Source organism: Homo sapiens, chromosome 5 (genome assembly GCF_000001405.40).
Source record: "Homo sapiens chromosome 5, GRCh38.p14 Primary Assembly".
Classification (NCBI taxonomy): Eukaryota; Metazoa; Chordata; class Mammalia; order Primates; family Hominidae; genus Homo; species Homo sapiens.
In genome coordinates, this window is record NC_000005.10 from 18,016,122 (window position 1) to 18,035,591 (window position 19,470).

Consider the following 19,470-nt stretch of genomic DNA (forward strand, 5'->3'; position numbering starts at 1 on the left):
AACTATCAGCTTAACTCTTTAGTCTTCTTTCCTATGCAAATTGTAGCATGTGTATCAAGGAGGAGATTGGCTGTGTATTTGTGGTGGGCTTCCATTCTCTCGTATAACTGTTCTCTTATGCATTGTAGGGATGTGGGATATTTTACTCTCCTTTTATAAAACCTCTTACCTATCCCCGAGTCTCCACTTTCTTTAGCACATGTCCTGTGGGGAAAGCTTACTGACTGTTTGGAGTTCCTTTAGTTTCCCATGTCTCGGGTCAGGCTCATGAGATAAGCAATAGCTTTGTTGGATTCTCTTTTCCTCTGATAGAGGATGCCTACTAGGGCTTAGCTTGAGCCTCACCCATGCACCAAATTAATTAAGGCTTTACAGGCTGAAAGCAGCCAGTGATTATCAGCTACAGAAGGGTCTCCCTTGCCTGAGATTTTGGTTTATCACATTCTTGTTGTTTCCATAGATCTCTAATCTCTAAAATATGACTTTCCAAATGTATCTATTTCTTTCTAATAATTACACTAGGAAAATTGGTTTTCTGTTACTACATGTTACTTAGATATGGAAATGTTTTCTATTTATAGAATTTTTGTTAACCCTCTTACTTTGTTTTTTATGTTTATCATATATGTTAGTAATCCAAACTCTAGAATAATATATAGGAAATGAAATCATATCTATTACACTGTTTTTGTTTGCTTTGCTCAGCTTTGTTAGTGAAAAAATCATATTTATACATGTAGTTGTAGTACATTTTTAAATTTAGGATTCCATTTTGTAAATTTACCAAATTTTTAAAATATATTCTATTGATGATGAAAATGTAAAGAATTTCATAGTTAGCTAATGTGGAATTTTAAGTCAGCCAGGCTGGCTTCTTTCTTGTTGTTTTGCTATGTATCATTTTTATTATCAAAAATATCTCGAGGCTTCAGATGATTTCTCAGGATCCAGCCATTATATCCACATTCTGGGCAGCACAAAAGTTAGAAAGAAGGAGGCAGGCACACTCTTTTAAAGACATTTTCTAGAAGCTGTTCATGTTGTTTTCACTTGTTCCCAATGGTCAAAATTGAATCATTTGGTCACATCCAGGTACATGGGAGCTGGGATATGCAATTTTCATTTTAGGGAGTCATATGTTTAGGTAAAAACTTGAGCCTATTTTTATAGAAAATGTGGGGAGTGGCCATAAGGAGACAACTATCAGTTTCTACCACATTAGTAACAAACAATCTATAACAATGTTTCTATATATTATTTATGGTTAGTTTGTGTTTTCTAAGACCGGTTTTCAATTTACAAAGAAAAATCTGACATTTGCCATTGAGAAACTATTATGTTCATATTGATTAATGTATAATATATAGAGCTGCTAAAATATCAGCAATGTATGTGTTTTAGGCATTTTTGTTGTTGTCATAGTATATTATTTTTGGTGGCTGCCTTTATGATGATTATAGTGTATAAATGTGCTACTAAAAACAAAGCATTTTTTGACAAGGCTAAAGTAAATTCTGAAGAAAATAAATGATAGGAAATTCCAAAATTTATTTTCCACCAATAGTATCTGACATTTAAGAAACTGTATACTGTGAAGAAAAAAATGTAATCACATACATGATTTATAGTATTTTAAAACTAGCATTTTGTTGGGATTCTGAGCTGTAAGACTATCTCCATTTTTTGAAAAAAGTCATACTAATTATATATTGCATTTTAAATCATAATTTCAGTTACTTGACAGTTTGGATTTCACTAAGATGTCAATTACTCTAAATCGTAGTGTTTACACTCTACTTTTAGTGTAGAATAAATGTGTTTAGTATTACTGTGTTTTTGATAATTATGGGTCATAAAAGATTAAATTAACTTCTGGGTATTTATAATTCTGTGGAAACATAAGAATTTTAAAAGTTGCCTTTCAGTTACTCAGAATGTATCAGCATTAATATACTATATACATGTCCAAGGAAATCAGGAGGCTAACAGTAAAATAAATAATTGAAAGCAAACTACATTTGAGATTGATTTGAAGCACACGTTCAGTTCCTATTGCAGACCAGGTGTAACCTGTTACCATTAAGTCACAAAGACAGCTGGGTCTAGGTTGCAATGTGAACCTCTTGGGAATCAGAAGGAGGAGACAGGTGAGATAAATGCTTATCTATGACTTGTCTGCCTTCTTTCTCTAGCACTATTGGTTTGGATAGAAAGTAAGAACCTAGGCAAGGAAAGCAAGTTTAACTCTATGCAATCTGCTATATGGCAGGTATTGGAGGATGACTCTGCTCTTGCTGAAGTGGAAATTATAATTCTCATTTTTTCTGTGTATTCTCAGTCAATTGAAATTGGAAGTGATTATTAGTTCTGGAAGAATATAAAAATTAAAGATGAATCACAGAATAATGAGAGAATGAGAAACATCTGCCAGCAATAAAATGAAAAGAATTGATTAAAACATAAAAAAGGAGCTGAGGATGTGAGGTTCAGCACGAGTGTTTCTGGAATTAGAGCCTGAAGTCTGATGCAAGTTGTTAAACAAGGTTAATGCAATAGAAAGGAGCAGGGCTGAGTGTGTGCAGACACTCTTGTAAAGTAGCGCACATGAATTAAACAATTTAATTCTTGTCAAATACTATGAGCTAGGCATGATTACATTGCCACATTTTACAGATAAGAAAGCCAAATCACAGTGAAATTAAGTAATTTGTTCAAGGTCAAACAGGTAGTAATTGGTAGATCCAGTTGAACATAGATATTCTGGTTACAGAATCTGCAATCTCTACTGCCTCTTTAATGAAAGAATTAAAGGCAGATATCAGAGAAGCTGGGGTTATATTTTAATGTAAAAGAACATGGTATGCTTTGTTTCCTAGGAGAACCAGCCACAGAACTAGCTGAGGCATCTACTAGGGTGATGATTTAACTGTCAGTAGTTGGAGAGTTGGAACACTGCAGACAGATTGTGGAAGGGAAGAAGAAGTGACATCAAGATTAGGGCAGGAAAATCTGAAGTCCAGGGACAATTTGGATGAGGGCATGGAGGAGAGCAAAGAAGAAAGTACCTTCCTCATGCAGTGGATCAAAAATACGTATGGGCTTCTCATTTGTCAGAATTTTCATACCTTCAGAAGGTATGAAGGAACCAGTAAAGGATTGTTAGAGGGATCCCAAATAACAAAGAAGGAATGTTATTGGATAGACAATGTAAATTCTTTTTTCTCCTAAAGGATCAAAATATTACTTGGGCACTCATCTAAGGAACAGATTGATAACCAGGTTCAGAAAAAGACCACAGACCTCCTTACATCTTTCTGCACTACTAAAGCAAATGTAACTTGGAGTAATTTGTCAATATCATGAGTGAATTTTTCCCGCAGAGGATACGATGTGGCTGATTCCAATTTTGAAATGCAAGGGATCTCCCATGAAGCCACCTAATAACTGCAACTAGGAAAAAGGTAGCAGTATACCAGTATAATTCTCTGTAGACATCTAATGTTTGGAGAAGGTGACAGCGTAGTAGAGTGGAAAAGTACAGCCTTTTTGGAATCTTAAAGTTATAGTTTCTTTATCTGGTTAGTGCCTTCACTACTTTTTATTTTCTTTGATATTAAGGACACTTAAATTCTCAGAATCTGTTTTTATTTCCCATAAAATCTAGAGAAAAGTGTCAACTTGATAGTGTGTTTTGAGTGGTACATAACATGCTGTGTGTAAAATTTCTGTGCAGAGATTGACTCCATAATTACGAATCTTTTCTGATAGGCTTTGAAATTGTTTCAACAATTTCAGATTTCAAACATTTCTGATACATGTTATGTTCTGACTTATAGTAACGATTAGCGAAGCTCATGAAGAAAAGTGAAGTAGTCTATAATTTATGTTGCTTGTGGCACAAACCCAGCTGTTCTAACTCAAGGGGTTCTATGCACTGCCCAGGGCAGATGGGTGATTAAATCAGGGACTGAGCATCCTCTAGGATATGCCCTTGGCTTTGGCCACACCAGTGGATGAAGATAGCATTTCACCATCATGCCATGACCCAGCCTGTGGACAAGAAGAAAGCGATCTGGAAGATGGAGACCTCTCTTCTGCTCTCATTCCATGATCCGGGACTGAGTCACAAGACTGAAACAATAACAGTAATGTGGACCAGCTGGGGAGACAGGCACTCAGGAGAAAACCTGACCTATGAAAAAATGACATTGTACAAGCTATGATGAAGGGATGAACAAGCTGCAGTAGGAACATGGATGAAGGAGCAACTAAGTCCGCATTTTGAAGTAAGGAATATCTTTTCTCAGCCCTCATCTTTACTGATTTCTATTAGAATTTCACAATGACAAGTTAAAATATACTTTCCTTTTATTGATTCATATGACAATGTGCTTTTCTCTGTGAAATTTAAAATATCTGTGGTATTCTTGATATTTCAAAAAAATCTCACTCCCTGTATGATATGATTTGGCTGTGTCTCCACCCAAATCTCACCTTGAATTGTAACAATCCCCACCTGTTGAAGGTAGGGCCAGGTGGAAGTTATTGAATCATGGGAGGGGGTGGGGGGCAGGCGGTTCCTCCATACTGTTCTGGTAGTGAATAAGTCTCACGAGATCTGATGGTTCTATAAACGGGAGTTCGCCTGCAAACGCTCTCTTGCCTGCTGCCGTGTAAGATGGGTATTGCTTCTCCTTCATCTTCCACCATGAGTCTGAGGCCTTCCAAGCCATCTGGAACTGTGAGTCAATTAAACCTCTTTCCTCTTTAAATAACCCAGTCTTGGGTATGTCGTTATTGGCACCGTGAAAACAGATGAATACGCTACATTTTGATGTTTCCTCAGGGTATGGTCTTGGGTCTAGGATGTTGAAATAATTATAATGGTAGAAGTGTGTTCTTCAAGTCATTTAATTGAATTGAGACTTACTTGAATATACCACCTCCCTCATTTCTTCATTTAAAAAATGGTAATTAATTAAAAGCAGAGGTTTGAAATTAATAGAATTGAAGATAAAAAGGAAGAGAGTGATGAAGTGGGTAGCCTTAAGCCCTGGGGAAAACAAAGAAGCTGGCTCGATGCTATGAAAATAGGGGATCTGGATTGAGAAGAGGGAGAAGTCAGGTTGCTACAGTGTGTTTCAAAATGGAGTTTTGACCAGGTGCAGTGGCTCATTTCTGTAATCCCAGCACTTTGGGAGGCCAAGGTGGGAGGATCACCTGAGGTCAGGAGTTCCAGACCATCCTGGCCGATATAGTGAAACCCTATCTCTACTAAGAAAAAAATATATACAAAAATTAGCCAGGTGTGGTCGCCTCTGCCTGTAGTCCAAGCTACTTGGGAGGCTGGGGCAGGAGAACTGCTTGAACCCAGGAGGTGGAGGCCAAGATCATGCCATTAGACTTCAGCTTGGACAACAGAGAGGAACTTCGTCTCAAAAAAAAAAAAAAAAAAAAGAAAAGAAAAAATAAGAGTTTTCCTGGACATATGTCCGGTGGAATAACCTCTCTAAAGGGCAACACTTACTAGAAGTCCTCTTTTAGAACCTTTGGAGTTCCTGCCTTCCCTCCTCCCCACTCTGACTAACCATGGCTAACAGGAGCTAAGACTGTTAAATTAATAGAAGTTATTCTTTCTTTCCCAGTTGAACTGTCAAGGTGTTTTGTGTGTCTTGGTTCCTAATTCCACCAAGAAGCTATCAGTACTACATTTAACAAATGTTAAAGGACACCAGGTATCAGCCCCAAGAATGTGTTAGTGCTGGAGGTGGAAAGATGAATAGAAGAGTGTTCATAGTCTAGCGGCGTGGACAAACAGTGAAAACAAATTCTCATGAGAGATGTTCATTTAAGCCACTTTAAGTCACGTATCAAGCGGTGGAGCAATGGTTTGTATGGGGGCGGGGAGGAAGAGCACACTCAGATGCTGTTGGTGGAAGTGGTGAAGGGATGGAATTCTGGGCCCTTACCCACTCCGGCCCCCCTCCCACATCTTCTTTCCACGAGTTTTAATCACAGCATACCTTTGACCAGTTTGCATAGTCAAATTTTCTATCGATTTTGTTTGAATTCTTCGGCCAGAATTCAATAGGTAATAAAAAAGGGAGATCCCATTGTTCAAGAATATTTACTATATATACAGTTTGAGTGCTTCAGGAGAATTCAATAGGCAATAAAAATGAAAAATCTCATTGTTCCAAGATAACACAACTATAAGAAGCTATTGATCCTACCTAGGTGTTATGAATGTAAATCATGAAATTTTTTTTTGGCTAATTCTATATTTTCACAAAAATGTTCATGATTATGAAAAACAATATATTTTCATCATTATAAAATATATCTAATGACTAAATATGAATGCAAAATACCAGCCAACATTCCCAGAAAAAGAACTAAATACTGAATCATTAATCTTGTACTAAGACTTCTCTGTGATATTTCAGTTTTCTGGGAAAGACTTTTACTAATATACTCTCACAGTAAAATAGAGTATTAACACATTGTCCTAAAAATCCATATTGTAGATTTACCTCTCATATTGCATGGTATAATAACCACATTTTAAAAGTCAGAAATATTACTGCAATAGCCAGAAACTCCAGACCAGCCTGGAAAACTTAGACTTCATCCCTACAAAATTAAAAACATTAGCTAGGTGTGGTGGAACTTGCCAGCAGTCCTAGCTACTTGGGAGGCTGTGGTGGGAGAATCTTTTAAGCCTAGGAGTTCAAGGTTGCAGTGAGCTATCATCATACCACTGCACTGTAGCTTGGGTGACAAAGTGAGACCTTATCTCTATAAAAAAATTTTTTTAAAAAATAATGCTGCAATAGTAATTATGGATGCTAATTTTTAATGTGTACTCTTTTTTTTAATTTTTACTTTTTTGAGATGAAGTCTCACTTTGTTGCCAGGCTGGAGTACAGTGGTGCAATCTCGACTCACTGCAACCTCTGCCTCCCAGGTTCAAGAGATTCTCCTGCTTCAGCCTCCTGAGTAGCTGGGATTACAGGCACCCGCCACCATGCCCAGCTAATTTTTGTATTTTTAGTAGTTGGGGTTTCACCATGTTGGCCAGGATGGTCTCGATCTCTTGACCTCATGATCCGCCTGCCTCTGCCTCCTAAAGTGCTGGGATTATAGGCATGAGCCACCGTGCCCGGCCTCTTTTTGTTTTTCTATTACTTTTTTTTTTCTTGAAAATGGATGGGCTCATTGGTTCATTTAATGCATATGCTAAAAGACAATACAATGCATTGTCCATGTCTAGAGTGCCCCTTAAATGTGTATGTAATGCTGACACAGTCAAAACCATTTAAACACATTAGAGGCAGACACAACAGAAAGGTCACTGGTTTTGCATCTACAGATCCATATTTGTGCATGTTGCTAGGCAGTGGAAGAAAATCACAGTCCCAAAGCTCTTTTCCTCACATCCATTATTAAAACATAAAACAAAACCAAGTATTTGCAGTGATGTAATTTTACATAACCAATTTTGAAATGCTGTTAAACTCTAATACCTATCTTAGACAATAAAAAATTAATTTACCCCACTTATCAAGTGTGAGGTTTTGTTTCATATTATCATTGTGAAACAATTTCAGATCTTTTATTATAATTATTATATTTAGAACATAAAATTATTCCTTTAAAAGTCCTGAATATTATTCAATAGTCTCTTGGTATTTGCAGATTTACTATTTGGGGCTTCAATTTTTCATGAGTGATATTGTTTATTATCTGTATTCGTAAGTGTTTCGAGGCACGTATTTGAGAGTGACCTTAGCTGACCACCAGGCATACTCATTACATGTGCCTGATTTCTCTCTACACAGGTGCTCTTTCTTCTGAATCTAAAAAAAAAAAAAAAAAAAACCCTCCAAAACAGAAAAAAAAAAACCCTTTGTTTCTTTGTTAAAATTATCCGCCCCCCCCCGCCAACACATACACATAATTCCAGCTCCAATGGTGGAAAAAGTAATGCAATTTAGCTTAAACATTTCTAAAAACAAAAGCTCTGGGTGATGGTCTCTCTTTGAGATTGTGGGTTTTCTGAGTCTTCAGGAAGCACCTGCCCCTAATGTCAAGTATTTCCTTTTGACATTATGTACCATTCATTTGGATATCTGTAGGGAGTAATATATCTGACTGATTTTTTTTTAAATGAAAGCTATTAATGTGTATTTTCTATCTGTTGTGAAGCTGCCTTCTTCTGGAACTCTTTGCAGGGTGTTTGTTTTAGTCCTTTTCCAACCTTCTGCCTGTGCCTAGGCTGGGATCTCCTGCCTTCTGTTTCCTTTACCTCCAGTACATCCTTGAGTGAACACCATCATACAGTGTTAATGTTATAGCTGCATATTGGTCTCTCCGAGACCATGTATTTCAACATGACACAGCCCTTACCTGCACGCTGCTTGTGACATCCCAGAGATTCTCACAGTGCCCAGAATACAGCAGGGACTTAGCAACTCTGTACTGAAGCAAGTATAGGCAGATAGTTAAGAGCATGAATTCTGGAGCCACAATGCTTGGGTTGGAGTCCAGGTTTTAGTGCTTGTGAACTATGAAACCCTTCAGAACCTCCACATGGGACCCCAAGGCTTAACTGCGGCTTGACTCCAGGGGGCACCATTTATATAACCCAAAAGGTAAATGGTCAACACTAGAGTCTTCATTACTGATGATCTTGGCGGGTTATTTAGTCTCCATAGGTCTTGATTTTCTCATTTTTTAAATAAGAATAGTTATTTCTACTTCCAATGGCTATGATGATTAAGAGCTAATATATATCAAGTGCTTAGAACACTGCCTTCTATGGAGTAAGCACTCAATGCTATTAAATATTTTTCTGTTTTTGAATTAATTTTATTAAATGAGATTTGAAGCAGTCACAACTGTTGCCTAGCATTCCATTCAATGGATAAAGCACTTTTTAAATTCTCTTACTGAGTAATCATTAGGTTTTGTCCATTTTTTAAGTTTCTGATTATTGCCAAACGAAGAGAGAAAACATTATAACATGTCTCCATGAGCATATGCTCAATCTCCAGGACAGAGCCCTAGAAGTGGAATTTGTAGGTCTAAAGATATGCACTCTAAAAATCTTACCAGAAAAAGACTAATTGCTCTCTGGGGTGTTTGCATCAACTTATACTGACCAATATACTACTGGTGTATATTTTCCCATTCCTCAAATCTTCATTAACACTTTATTTAATTTTTGCTGAGCTGATAGATGTAAAATATTTTACTGTTCCTTTAGTAGTTTTCTACAGCAGTCATAACAAATTACCACACATTTAGTGGCTTAAAATAACAAGCATTTCTACACTTCAGCATGGGCGATAGAGCAAGACTCTGTCTCGAAAAAAAAAGAAAAGAAAAGAAAAAATAACAAGCATTTATTTTCTATAGCTCTGTAGGTCAGAAGACTGGGTATAGTGTGTTGTTCAGCTGGGTCCTGCATTCAGAATCACACAAGGGCAAAATGGAGGCGTTTACAGGTGTATGTATGTTTCTGGAAGCTCATTCAGGTTATTGGTTGAATTCAAATTCTTCTGGCAGCCTGTGGTAGTCTTTGCTACTAGAAGTTGCCTGTAATTTTTCTCATTCTTTCCATATGGTTCTCCTCTAGCAATGGTGGTTCAAGGCCCTCTCACACTTTGAGCTTCTCAAACTTCACGTATCTTCTTTCTATCATTCTAGCTGGAGAAAGTTCTCTGGTTTTAAGGTTTCGTTTATTAAGGTTGGGCACACCTGTATAATCCAGGCTATAATCTCCCTATTTTGAGGTACAAAATCTTAATCAATCTGCAAAATCATTTTTTCCATGTAGGGTAACATAGTCACAATTTTTAGGGACTGGGGCCTGGGCATCTTTGGGAGTCTGTTCTACTGAGAATGATTCTTTTAATTTTAATTTGCTGATTATTATTGAGGGTGAGCATATTTTCTAGGTCAGTTGGCCATATTGATCTTTTATGCTTTAAATTTTATTTTCATATACTTTTTTTCCAATTTCCTATTGGAAGATTTATCTTTTAAAGTTGATTTTTATTGTTTATTATATATTGTGGCTAATTATTTTTCAGAAATGTACACTGAAAATATTTTAAAACCATAGCTTAATTTTTAAATGAGTTTTTTTCCCCATAAGTTATTGGGGTACAGGTGGTATTTGGTTACATGAGTAGGTTCTTTAGTGGTGATTTGTAAGATTTTGGTGCACATATCACCTGAGCAGTATACACTGCACCCTATTTGCAGTCTTTTATCCCTTGCCCCGCTCCCATCCTTCCCCGCAAGTCCCCAGAGTCCTTTGTATCATTCTTATGCCTTTGTGTCCTCATTGCTTAGCTCCCACATATCAGTGAGAACATTCGGTGTTTGTTTTTCCATTCCTGAGTTACTTCACTTAGAATAATAATCTCCAATCTCATCCATGTTGCTGCAAATGCTATTAATTCATTCATTTTTATGTCTGAGTAGTATTGCGTTGCATATATATACCACAGTTTCTTTATCCATTCATTGATTGATGGGCATTTGGGTTGGTTCCACGATTTTGCAATTGTGAATTGTGCTGCTATAAACATGCGTGTGCAGGTATCTTTTTCGTATAATAACTTCATCTCCTCTGGGTAGACACCCAGTAGTGGAAATGCCAGATCAAATGGTAGTTCTACTTGTAGTTTTTTAGGAATGTCCACGCTGTTTTCCACAGTGGTTGTACTAGTTTACGTTCCCACCAGCACTGTAGGAGAGTTTCCGGTTCACCACATCCATGCTAACGTCTATCTTTTTTTAAATTTTTTTGATTATGACCATTCTTGCAGGAGTAAGATGGATCACATTGTGGTTTTGATTTGCATTTACCTGATCATTAGTGATATTGAGCATTTTTTAATATGTTTGTTGATAATTTGTATATCTTCTTTGAGAATTGTCTATTCATGTCCTTAGCCCACTTTTTGATGGGATTGTTTTTTTCTATGTGCCTTGATGATCATCATGTACAGTATCTTCCAGGCCTTCTCTGAATTTCTTGTATCTGGATGTCTACCTCTCTAGCAAGATGAGGGAAATTTTCCTGTCTTTTTTGCAGTTGTTCAATGTCTACAATAAACACTGAGTCTTTGAAAAAATTTCCAAGGCAACTCTCAAAACTGGTCCTCAATAACCTACTCCTAAAGACCCCAAATCTGGAAATAGCCTGTATGTTTCTGATTTGTTGGTTTGGCTTGGCAGTATCACCCTCATGTATATTTTAAGTATCTTCCAAGCTGTTGAGTAGGGCTGTTTTATTTTGCTAATTATTTGGTGGACAATAATTCACATCAAAGCTGAAACCAGAGCTTTTCCTGAGCAGAAACATTAGGGTGATGACACTTTTTAATGATTTCTTGAGCTGCAAAAGCTCAAGGATATTATTTAAACAATTTATGTCCAATTTTATGTGAGCTGCACACATCCATTGTCCTATTGAATAGTCACACTAATAAAAAGCACATACTACTATAGCTCAGCCTTCAACTTTATGAGGATGCTTTTCTTAACATTTTTAGTTTAATTTTTTAATGGCTTATAATTAATAGCCCAAGAGGGAAAAGTTAAAACTTGGATGTGAAACAAACCATTTTTTATTTGCTGTACTTTAGATAACCTCAGCCCTCAAGAGAAAACATTTATGATATCCATCCTCCTCACATATTCTGTTTATCCTTTATGCAAATTATCTGATCATAAAGCGTTCCACGGGGTTGTTAGTTATGCATGTTTTAGGACACTATTAATGCATCTTTGCACATCTAAAATGATACATTGGCAAAACAATGAATTAACTACTATGTATTTTACAAACTGAAACTAATTGTTTAACTGAATGGATTAGGTAGAATCTGCTAGACTTCTGAGAACACATGTTGAATTGTTTTCATGCCTTTCTAATTTTATTATAATAAATTTTCTGCAAATGAATGGCTTTCAAACAGAGCATCTTAATTTATAGGCAATTATGAGGATGTCCAGTTTCCCAAGATATATTTTAGAACAAAAAAGACTAACTGGATAAATTATTGCACTTTTTATGATGCACATTTTTGTCAGTCACATTAATATAAAACTAGTTTGGAGACTTGTGAATCATTTAAAATTTTATCTAAAAAGTTTTCTATCACTATAGTCATTATGAAGGTTTGACCTTTTCTACCCCTGCCTCTTGTGACTGTAGCTAAGGGAGGAAATAATGAATTTCAGTTCATCTCTTACATTGCTATTATGCGGCTTTTAGTGTTGCTCACAGATGGATCTGTCTTGAATTTTGCAGCAGTGAAATCCATTATGGTTGTCCCCATAAGAATACAATTTTAGCTTCTACTAAGTTTTCTCAGTAATATTCCTGCTAAATTTGAATATATTCAACTTGAGCATTCTTACATATGAAAAAGTCTTAATATTTATTAATATCTATTGCATACTTTTAAGGAAATAGATATATTTTAAGTTTTTTATGCTACTAGTTATCACATACTCTGTTTGCCAAACTTCCTGGCATGTTCAACTTTATGTACTGTTGTTGCTTGTTTTATTTATTGCAGAGATCAAACTGCAGTAACAAATGGCCATGATGCATAGCGTTGCAAATGTTTCTCTTATGTACTAATTCAAAGCCAACTAGGTGGTGCAGGGTGAAATAGTTAGCTCAGTTCTATGTGATCATTCAGAAACCCGGCTGCTTCTCTCTTCTTGCTCTTCCATTCCCTAGGATCTTGTCTCTTTTTCACAATCTAGCTTACACAAGAAGAAAGAGTAAAATGGGAGGCAAGCAATTTCTCAAGGGAAAAGGGAAGATTGGACTTGGGGGTATCGATTGTCAGCCCACTGTCTTCTCTTTTGAGGGATATCAGGTTCATTTTATTATATCCAGTTACAATACTTATTCTCGAATAAAAATTATATTCAAATTTATTGTCTTCAAGATTGTTTTACATTAAATGTATACTAAGTAATTGGAATATAAAATTGCACTGTGGTTAAACACCCATTTTATGAGTGTATCTAATAAGAAATTTATGGCAAACATAATACAGATTTTTCTGTCAGGAACTTAATGGAATTAACATCTCCGTTTAACTTCATTGATTTAAAGTATTTGTATCCTTTAGCAGGATTACAGGAACTGTTTAATGTTCTTGAACTTAAAATGATGGTATTCAGATTTCTGCCACCATATCCTTGCAGCATTCCTCATAAATATGAGTCAAACATAATTATTGTTACATCACAAATGCATTTGTTAATTTATATATATATATATATAAACAGGTATAATATAAACCTTGAAGAAAGTATTAAAACTCTTTGAGTCTTAATTTCCTTATCTTGGTATGAAGGGGTTAGATTGGATCATTACTAACAAGCTCCTATTTCCATTAATATAATTATGTATGACTATCACTTTTTTAAGATCCTCTTATAAAACATCTTGTTGAATTTAGAAGATATAAAGATGATTTATATACAGTCTTGCTTCCTGAGGAGCTTATTGTCTTTGTGTAGTGAGCATTAACATCCAAGTAGAATTATTGATATATGAAATAAGTGCCACAAGAGAAATGTATGCTTTCAATTTTTTGAAAAGTCTTTAAAGAAGAACATTACTATATAAAAATGACACATTAGGCCAGGCGCAGTGGCTCACGGCTGTAATCCCAGCACTTTGAGAGGCTGAGGTGGGTGGATCATCTGAGGTTGGCAGTTGAGACCACCCAGATCAACATGGAGAAACCCCATCTCTACCAAAAATACAAAATTAACTGTGCATAGTGGCGCACTCCTGCAATCCCAACTACTCGGGAGGCTGAGGCAGGAGAATCGCTTGAACCTGGGAGGTGGAGGTTGCAGTGAGCCAAGATCATGCCATTGCACTCCAGCCTGGGCAACAAGAACAAAACTCTATCTCAAAAAAAAAAAAAAATAAGTTACTGTAATTTGTATCAACTTACAGCTTACATTATTCTAACTCCAACCAATGTCACGACCTCTCTGTGTTTCCAAATATTGCCCATTCTCTTTTCTCATGCATCCTAGTTGCTTCTTTTTCAGGTCCCTACTTCCCAAGAAATTCTTCTTACATCCTAACACTTCCAAGTGCACACAAGACAAAATGTTTTTTCCTAGAAAAATAAAGTCCAGGATCCTTAAATTTGCACTTGTAAATTGCTGTATGTTTCCCTATACCTTTTCAACATTAATTCTCATTATTTTTCTATACAAATTTTTACTGTAAATTGATGAGTATATTTATTATCCAGCTACACAAATGTAAATTGCTCCCTTAAAATTTGATTGCCTAACAATTTTCTTTTTTTTCTTTTTTTTAATTATACTTTAAGTTTTAGGGTACATGTACGCAACGTGCATGTTAGTTACATATGTATACATGTGCCATGTTGGTGTGCTGCACCCATTAACTCGTCATTTAACATTAGGTATATCTCCAAATGCTATCCCTCCCCCCTCCCCCCACCCCACAACAGGCCCCGGTGTGTGATGTTCCCCTTCCTGTGTCCATGTGTTCTCATTGTTCAATTCCCACCTATGGGTGAGAACATGTGGTGTTTGGTTTTTTTTCTTTGTGATAGTTTGCTGAGAATAATGGTTTCCAGCTTCATCCATGTCCCTACAAAGGACATGAACTCATCATTTTTTATGGCTGCATAGTATTCCATGGTGTACATGTGCCACGTTTTCTTAATCCAGTCTATCATTGTTGGACATTTGGGTTGGTTCCAAGTCTTTGACACATGCACACGTATGTATGTTGTGGCACTATTCACAATAACAATTTTCTTTTTTTTTAATTTTTTTTTTTAAATTATTCTCAGTAAACTATCGCAAGAACAAAAAACCAATTTTCTTTTTTTAAAAAAACTTTTAAGTTCAGGGGTACATGTGGAGGTTTGTTATATGGGTAAGCTTGTTTCACAGCTGTTTGTTGTGCAGATTATTTCATCACCCAGGTATGAAGCCTAGAACCCACTAGGTTATTTTTCCTGATCCTCTCCCTCCTCCCACCCTTCACCCTCCACCCTCCGATAGGCCCAGGTGTGCATTGTTCCCATCTATGTGTCCATGTGTTCTCACCATTTAGCTCCCACTTAAAAGTGAGAACCTGTGGTTTTTTATTTCTTTATTTTATCTTTCAAGATGACTGTGGCATAAAATAACACAGGGAAGCACTCATCACCAACTCATCAAACATTATGAGCAATATCTTGTTTGTCTTTTTTTTTTTTTTTTGACAGAATTTCCCTCTGTCACCCAGGCTGGAGTACAGTGGCAGGATCTCAGCTCACTGCAACCTCTGCCCCACCCCAGGTTCAAGCGATTCTCGTGCCTCAGCCTCTCAAGTAGTTGGGTCCATAGGCACATGCCACCATGCTGGGCTCATTTTTGTATTTTTGGTAGAGATGGGGTTTTGCCATGTTGGCCAGGCTGGTGTCCAACTCCTGACCTCAAGTGATCTGCCCGCCTTGGCCTCCCAAAATCCTGGGATTACAGTAGTGAACCACTGTGCCCAGCTGCTTGTCTTATTCTTGAAACATAATCTAGACACAAATATAATCAGGGGTTAAAAATTTGAGCATACAATTAATACCAGATGTCGAGAAGGATAAAAGTGTACAGCACAAAGATGTTTTCTTGCCATGTCAGTCAGCCAAATAAGATCATTGTGTTTGCTGCCTCTTGATCCTCATGGAGACATTAATTCAGATCCAAACTGGATCTTCCCTGGGATGAATAAATTTTGACACCTAAATATACTTAGTATTCCAAGATCAGAGAAAAGTATCTTCCATTGAATCCACTGATTCACTGGAAGGACAAGTGACTAGAACTCTGGCCATAAGACTTATCCCCCTTAACTAGAGGTCATGGAAGGGAATGGCTTGATTACACCTGTCTTACTTCAAATAATTAAATGCAAACTTGCCAATATAGAACCTACCAAATATTACAAAGCATGAGAGCTAGGAAGCATAAATACAAACCACTTTTGAAAAAGACTACTTTTGAAAATAGACTTTAGAAATCATTGAATTTTGAGATGTCAAACATTAGGAAAGTTGTCTTAATAAAAAAATAGCTAAAAAATACAATTTTAGATGAGAATGCAGATTTTTAGGCTGAGAGAAAAACACAATATATGAAATAGGGTCATATCATGAGCAAACCATAATAAAGTAGAGTTATATGTTATATTTGAATAATTAAAAAATAGAAAATAATGAAGATGGTATATAAGGAGCACAGAACATAGAAAATCAGAAGATAACTTTTGGGGAAGATTAAGAACACATATAAGGGAAGAAATAATTGCAAATACAGATCTAATTATAACTTTCTTATGATGAAATCCCATTTTGCATAGTCAGTATGAAAGTACCCAACACATGATATTAAAATAAGTAAAACTGAGCCCATCTTAAACATATTCTAGGAATTTTTGCATATCATATTTCAAAAACGTATTTATGTGAAGAACATTTTTCTTATGAAAACGAGTCAAAATGCTTGGATATATACATTTTTTTTTTGTCACAACACCAACACGTAAGAACTATGGCACAGTGGTCAAGAAAAATTTGAGACAAAATCTATGGCACCAAAAATTTATAGGAAACTCTGTAGATGACGTGTAGAGGCAAACAAAACTTTTTTCTCTGCTTTAAAGAAGTTCTTATAACATATCATTCATATACCCTACCCCGCAAAAAATTATTGAAGTCTACCGGATGTGCAAATGAAAGTAGAAAGTCAAGAATGAGGAAGTAGTGCTACAAGGGAGTCAAAACAATTATTGAAGCTCGCTAAACATCTTGTCTGATCTAAATAATAATAAGTATCAATTGATAGTACCCAATTGACTGAAAATATTTTACACAATTCTCAAATTATTTTGTAAAAATAGTAATAATAACAATAAGAATATGTGACTAGAATCTCAAGTCACATAAATAATTGTTTTAAATGGTGGAAGAGTTAAATATAAGACTCCAATAATTCTATCCCCTTATCAGGAGGTACACAATCAATACCTTTTTTTTTATCCTTGACATTGATAAATTCTAACACCTAATAAACTTGAATATTTTATTACATCAGCATCAGAATATATCCTTTTATTAAACTCTTCAATAACTCTTTAGGGGAACCACCTGTTTTCTATCTAGCAGAAGGCAGGGAAAAAGCAGATGGCTCCTCTAAGGAGTTATTGAAGAGTTTAATGAAAGGGTGTTCATAATCATTTGGGCAGAATTAACTGAACCATCAAAAAATGGTGTGGTACCAAGGATGAGTAGCAGCAGGAAACTGTTATCACCACTAAGCCTGAAGGGGCCAGGAACAGAATTGGTTGGCCAATATCCCTGAGTCCTGTAGAAGAGGGTGTCTGACGGCAGATATGAAGGAACTTCACCAAGAAGTTCCTCAGTTTCTCTCCTGACTCCCATTGGCCAAACTAAAGTGGAACCCAGGAGCAAGATGGTTCGGGAGATGCAATCTCAAAGTGCAGCCTCCTGGGGCAGAGTTCAGGGTAAAGTAGGGTAGACAGGAGATCCATGGGGACATTGAACAAATAGAGTACAACACAATGAGGACTTTAAAAGTCAGTTGAAAGTCTAATAAACCTCGGTATCAGTATAAAGATATTCAAAAAATTTAAAAAGATGCGAAAGGGTGTGGCCATTTCTATTTCTCTAAATAAATTTTATTGTGTGTATTTGAGGTTTATTACATGTTATAGGATACAAATAGATAGTAAAATGGCTACTATAGTGAACAAATGAGCATATCCATAATCTCACCAGGTTTGGTGTGTGTGACAAGAGCAGCTAAAATCTACATATTTGCGACTTTATGTGCTTTGAACTACATTTCCACATTTCCTCTCTCCCACCACCGTTTTATTCTCTGTGTATATTTGTCCTTTTAAAAAAAGATTCCGGCCGGGCGCGGTGGCTCGCGCCTGTAATCCCAGCACTTTGGGAGGCCGAGGCGGGCGGATCACGAGGTCAGGAGATCGAGACCATCCCGGCTAAAACGGTGAAACCCCGTCTCTACTAAAAATACAAAAAATTAGCCGGGCATGGTGGCGGGCGCCTGTAGTCCCAGCTGCTCGGGAGGCTGAGGCAGGAGAATGGCGTGAACCCGGGAGGCGGAGCTTGCAGTGAGCCGAGATCCCGCCACTGCACTCCAGCCTGGGCGACAGAGCGAGACTCCGTCTCAAAAAAAAAAAAGATTCCATATGTAAGTGAAATCATGCAATAGTTTTCTATCTGTGTTTGACACATTTCACTTAGCACAATGTTCTTCACGTCCACCCATATTGTGGCAAATGGCAGAATGTCCTTTTCTATGGCTGAATGAGAAGCTATTTCTGTTTAGGGGAACTAGTTTGGTTTGCTCTCAGTATTAAGATAAAATGATGCAAAATTGGTTTTTTGAGATACATTGTTTCTGGTGGTCATCCTAACATGTGCGCTTTAGTCAGTCCGCATCACAAGTGACTCACGAAAGAGACCGGGGACAAAGATCTATACTATAAAATATTCTACAACTGATACTGAGTTCATAAATTCATAATTTAAAAAACTTAGGATTTAATTATTCTATTTATATTTTGTGCCTAGACAAGGGATTTTGGACTCCCATTTGGAAACCAACTGGTGAAATCATAATGCAAACAGGTTTGGAATATTGATGTGGTTTGGGTCTATGTCCCTGCCCAAATCTCATGTCAAATTGTAATCCCCAATGTTGGAGGTTGGGGCTGGTGGGAAGTGATTGGATCATGAGGGTGATTTTTCCCTTTGGTGCTGCTCTCATGGTAATAAGTGAGTTATTGTGAGATCTGTTTGATTAAAAGCGTGTAACTCCTTCACCCCCTCCTTTTCTTCCTGCTGCAGCCATGTAAGACCTGCCGGCTTCCCCTTCATTTTCCGTCATGATTGAAAGTTTCCTGAGGACTCCCAGCCTTGTTTCTTGTACAGCCTGTGAAACCATGAGCCAATTAAACCTCTTTTCTTTATAAATTGTTTATAAATTTTAAAATACCCAGTCTCAGATATTTATAGCAGTGCAAAAACAGACAAATATAGATAACTAGGCTTTGATTTACACTACCATCTGCTCTGGGGCAACTTTGAGCTAGTGATTAGGAGAGGCCATTTATACTTTTAGGTAAGAACATATTAGGGATGTTGCATGGGGTATGTTACTAAACTGGAATAAAAGAAGATAATAGTAAAGGACATAAACTCTATCACATTAAAAACAAAGAGGCAGCAGAATTTCCACGTCATCTTGTCATGCTTAAAAACAAAGCAATGTAACAGCTGGGTAAATATGTATAATAACCATGACTCCAAATTTGTATGTTTACAAGAGTTAATAGAAATGGTA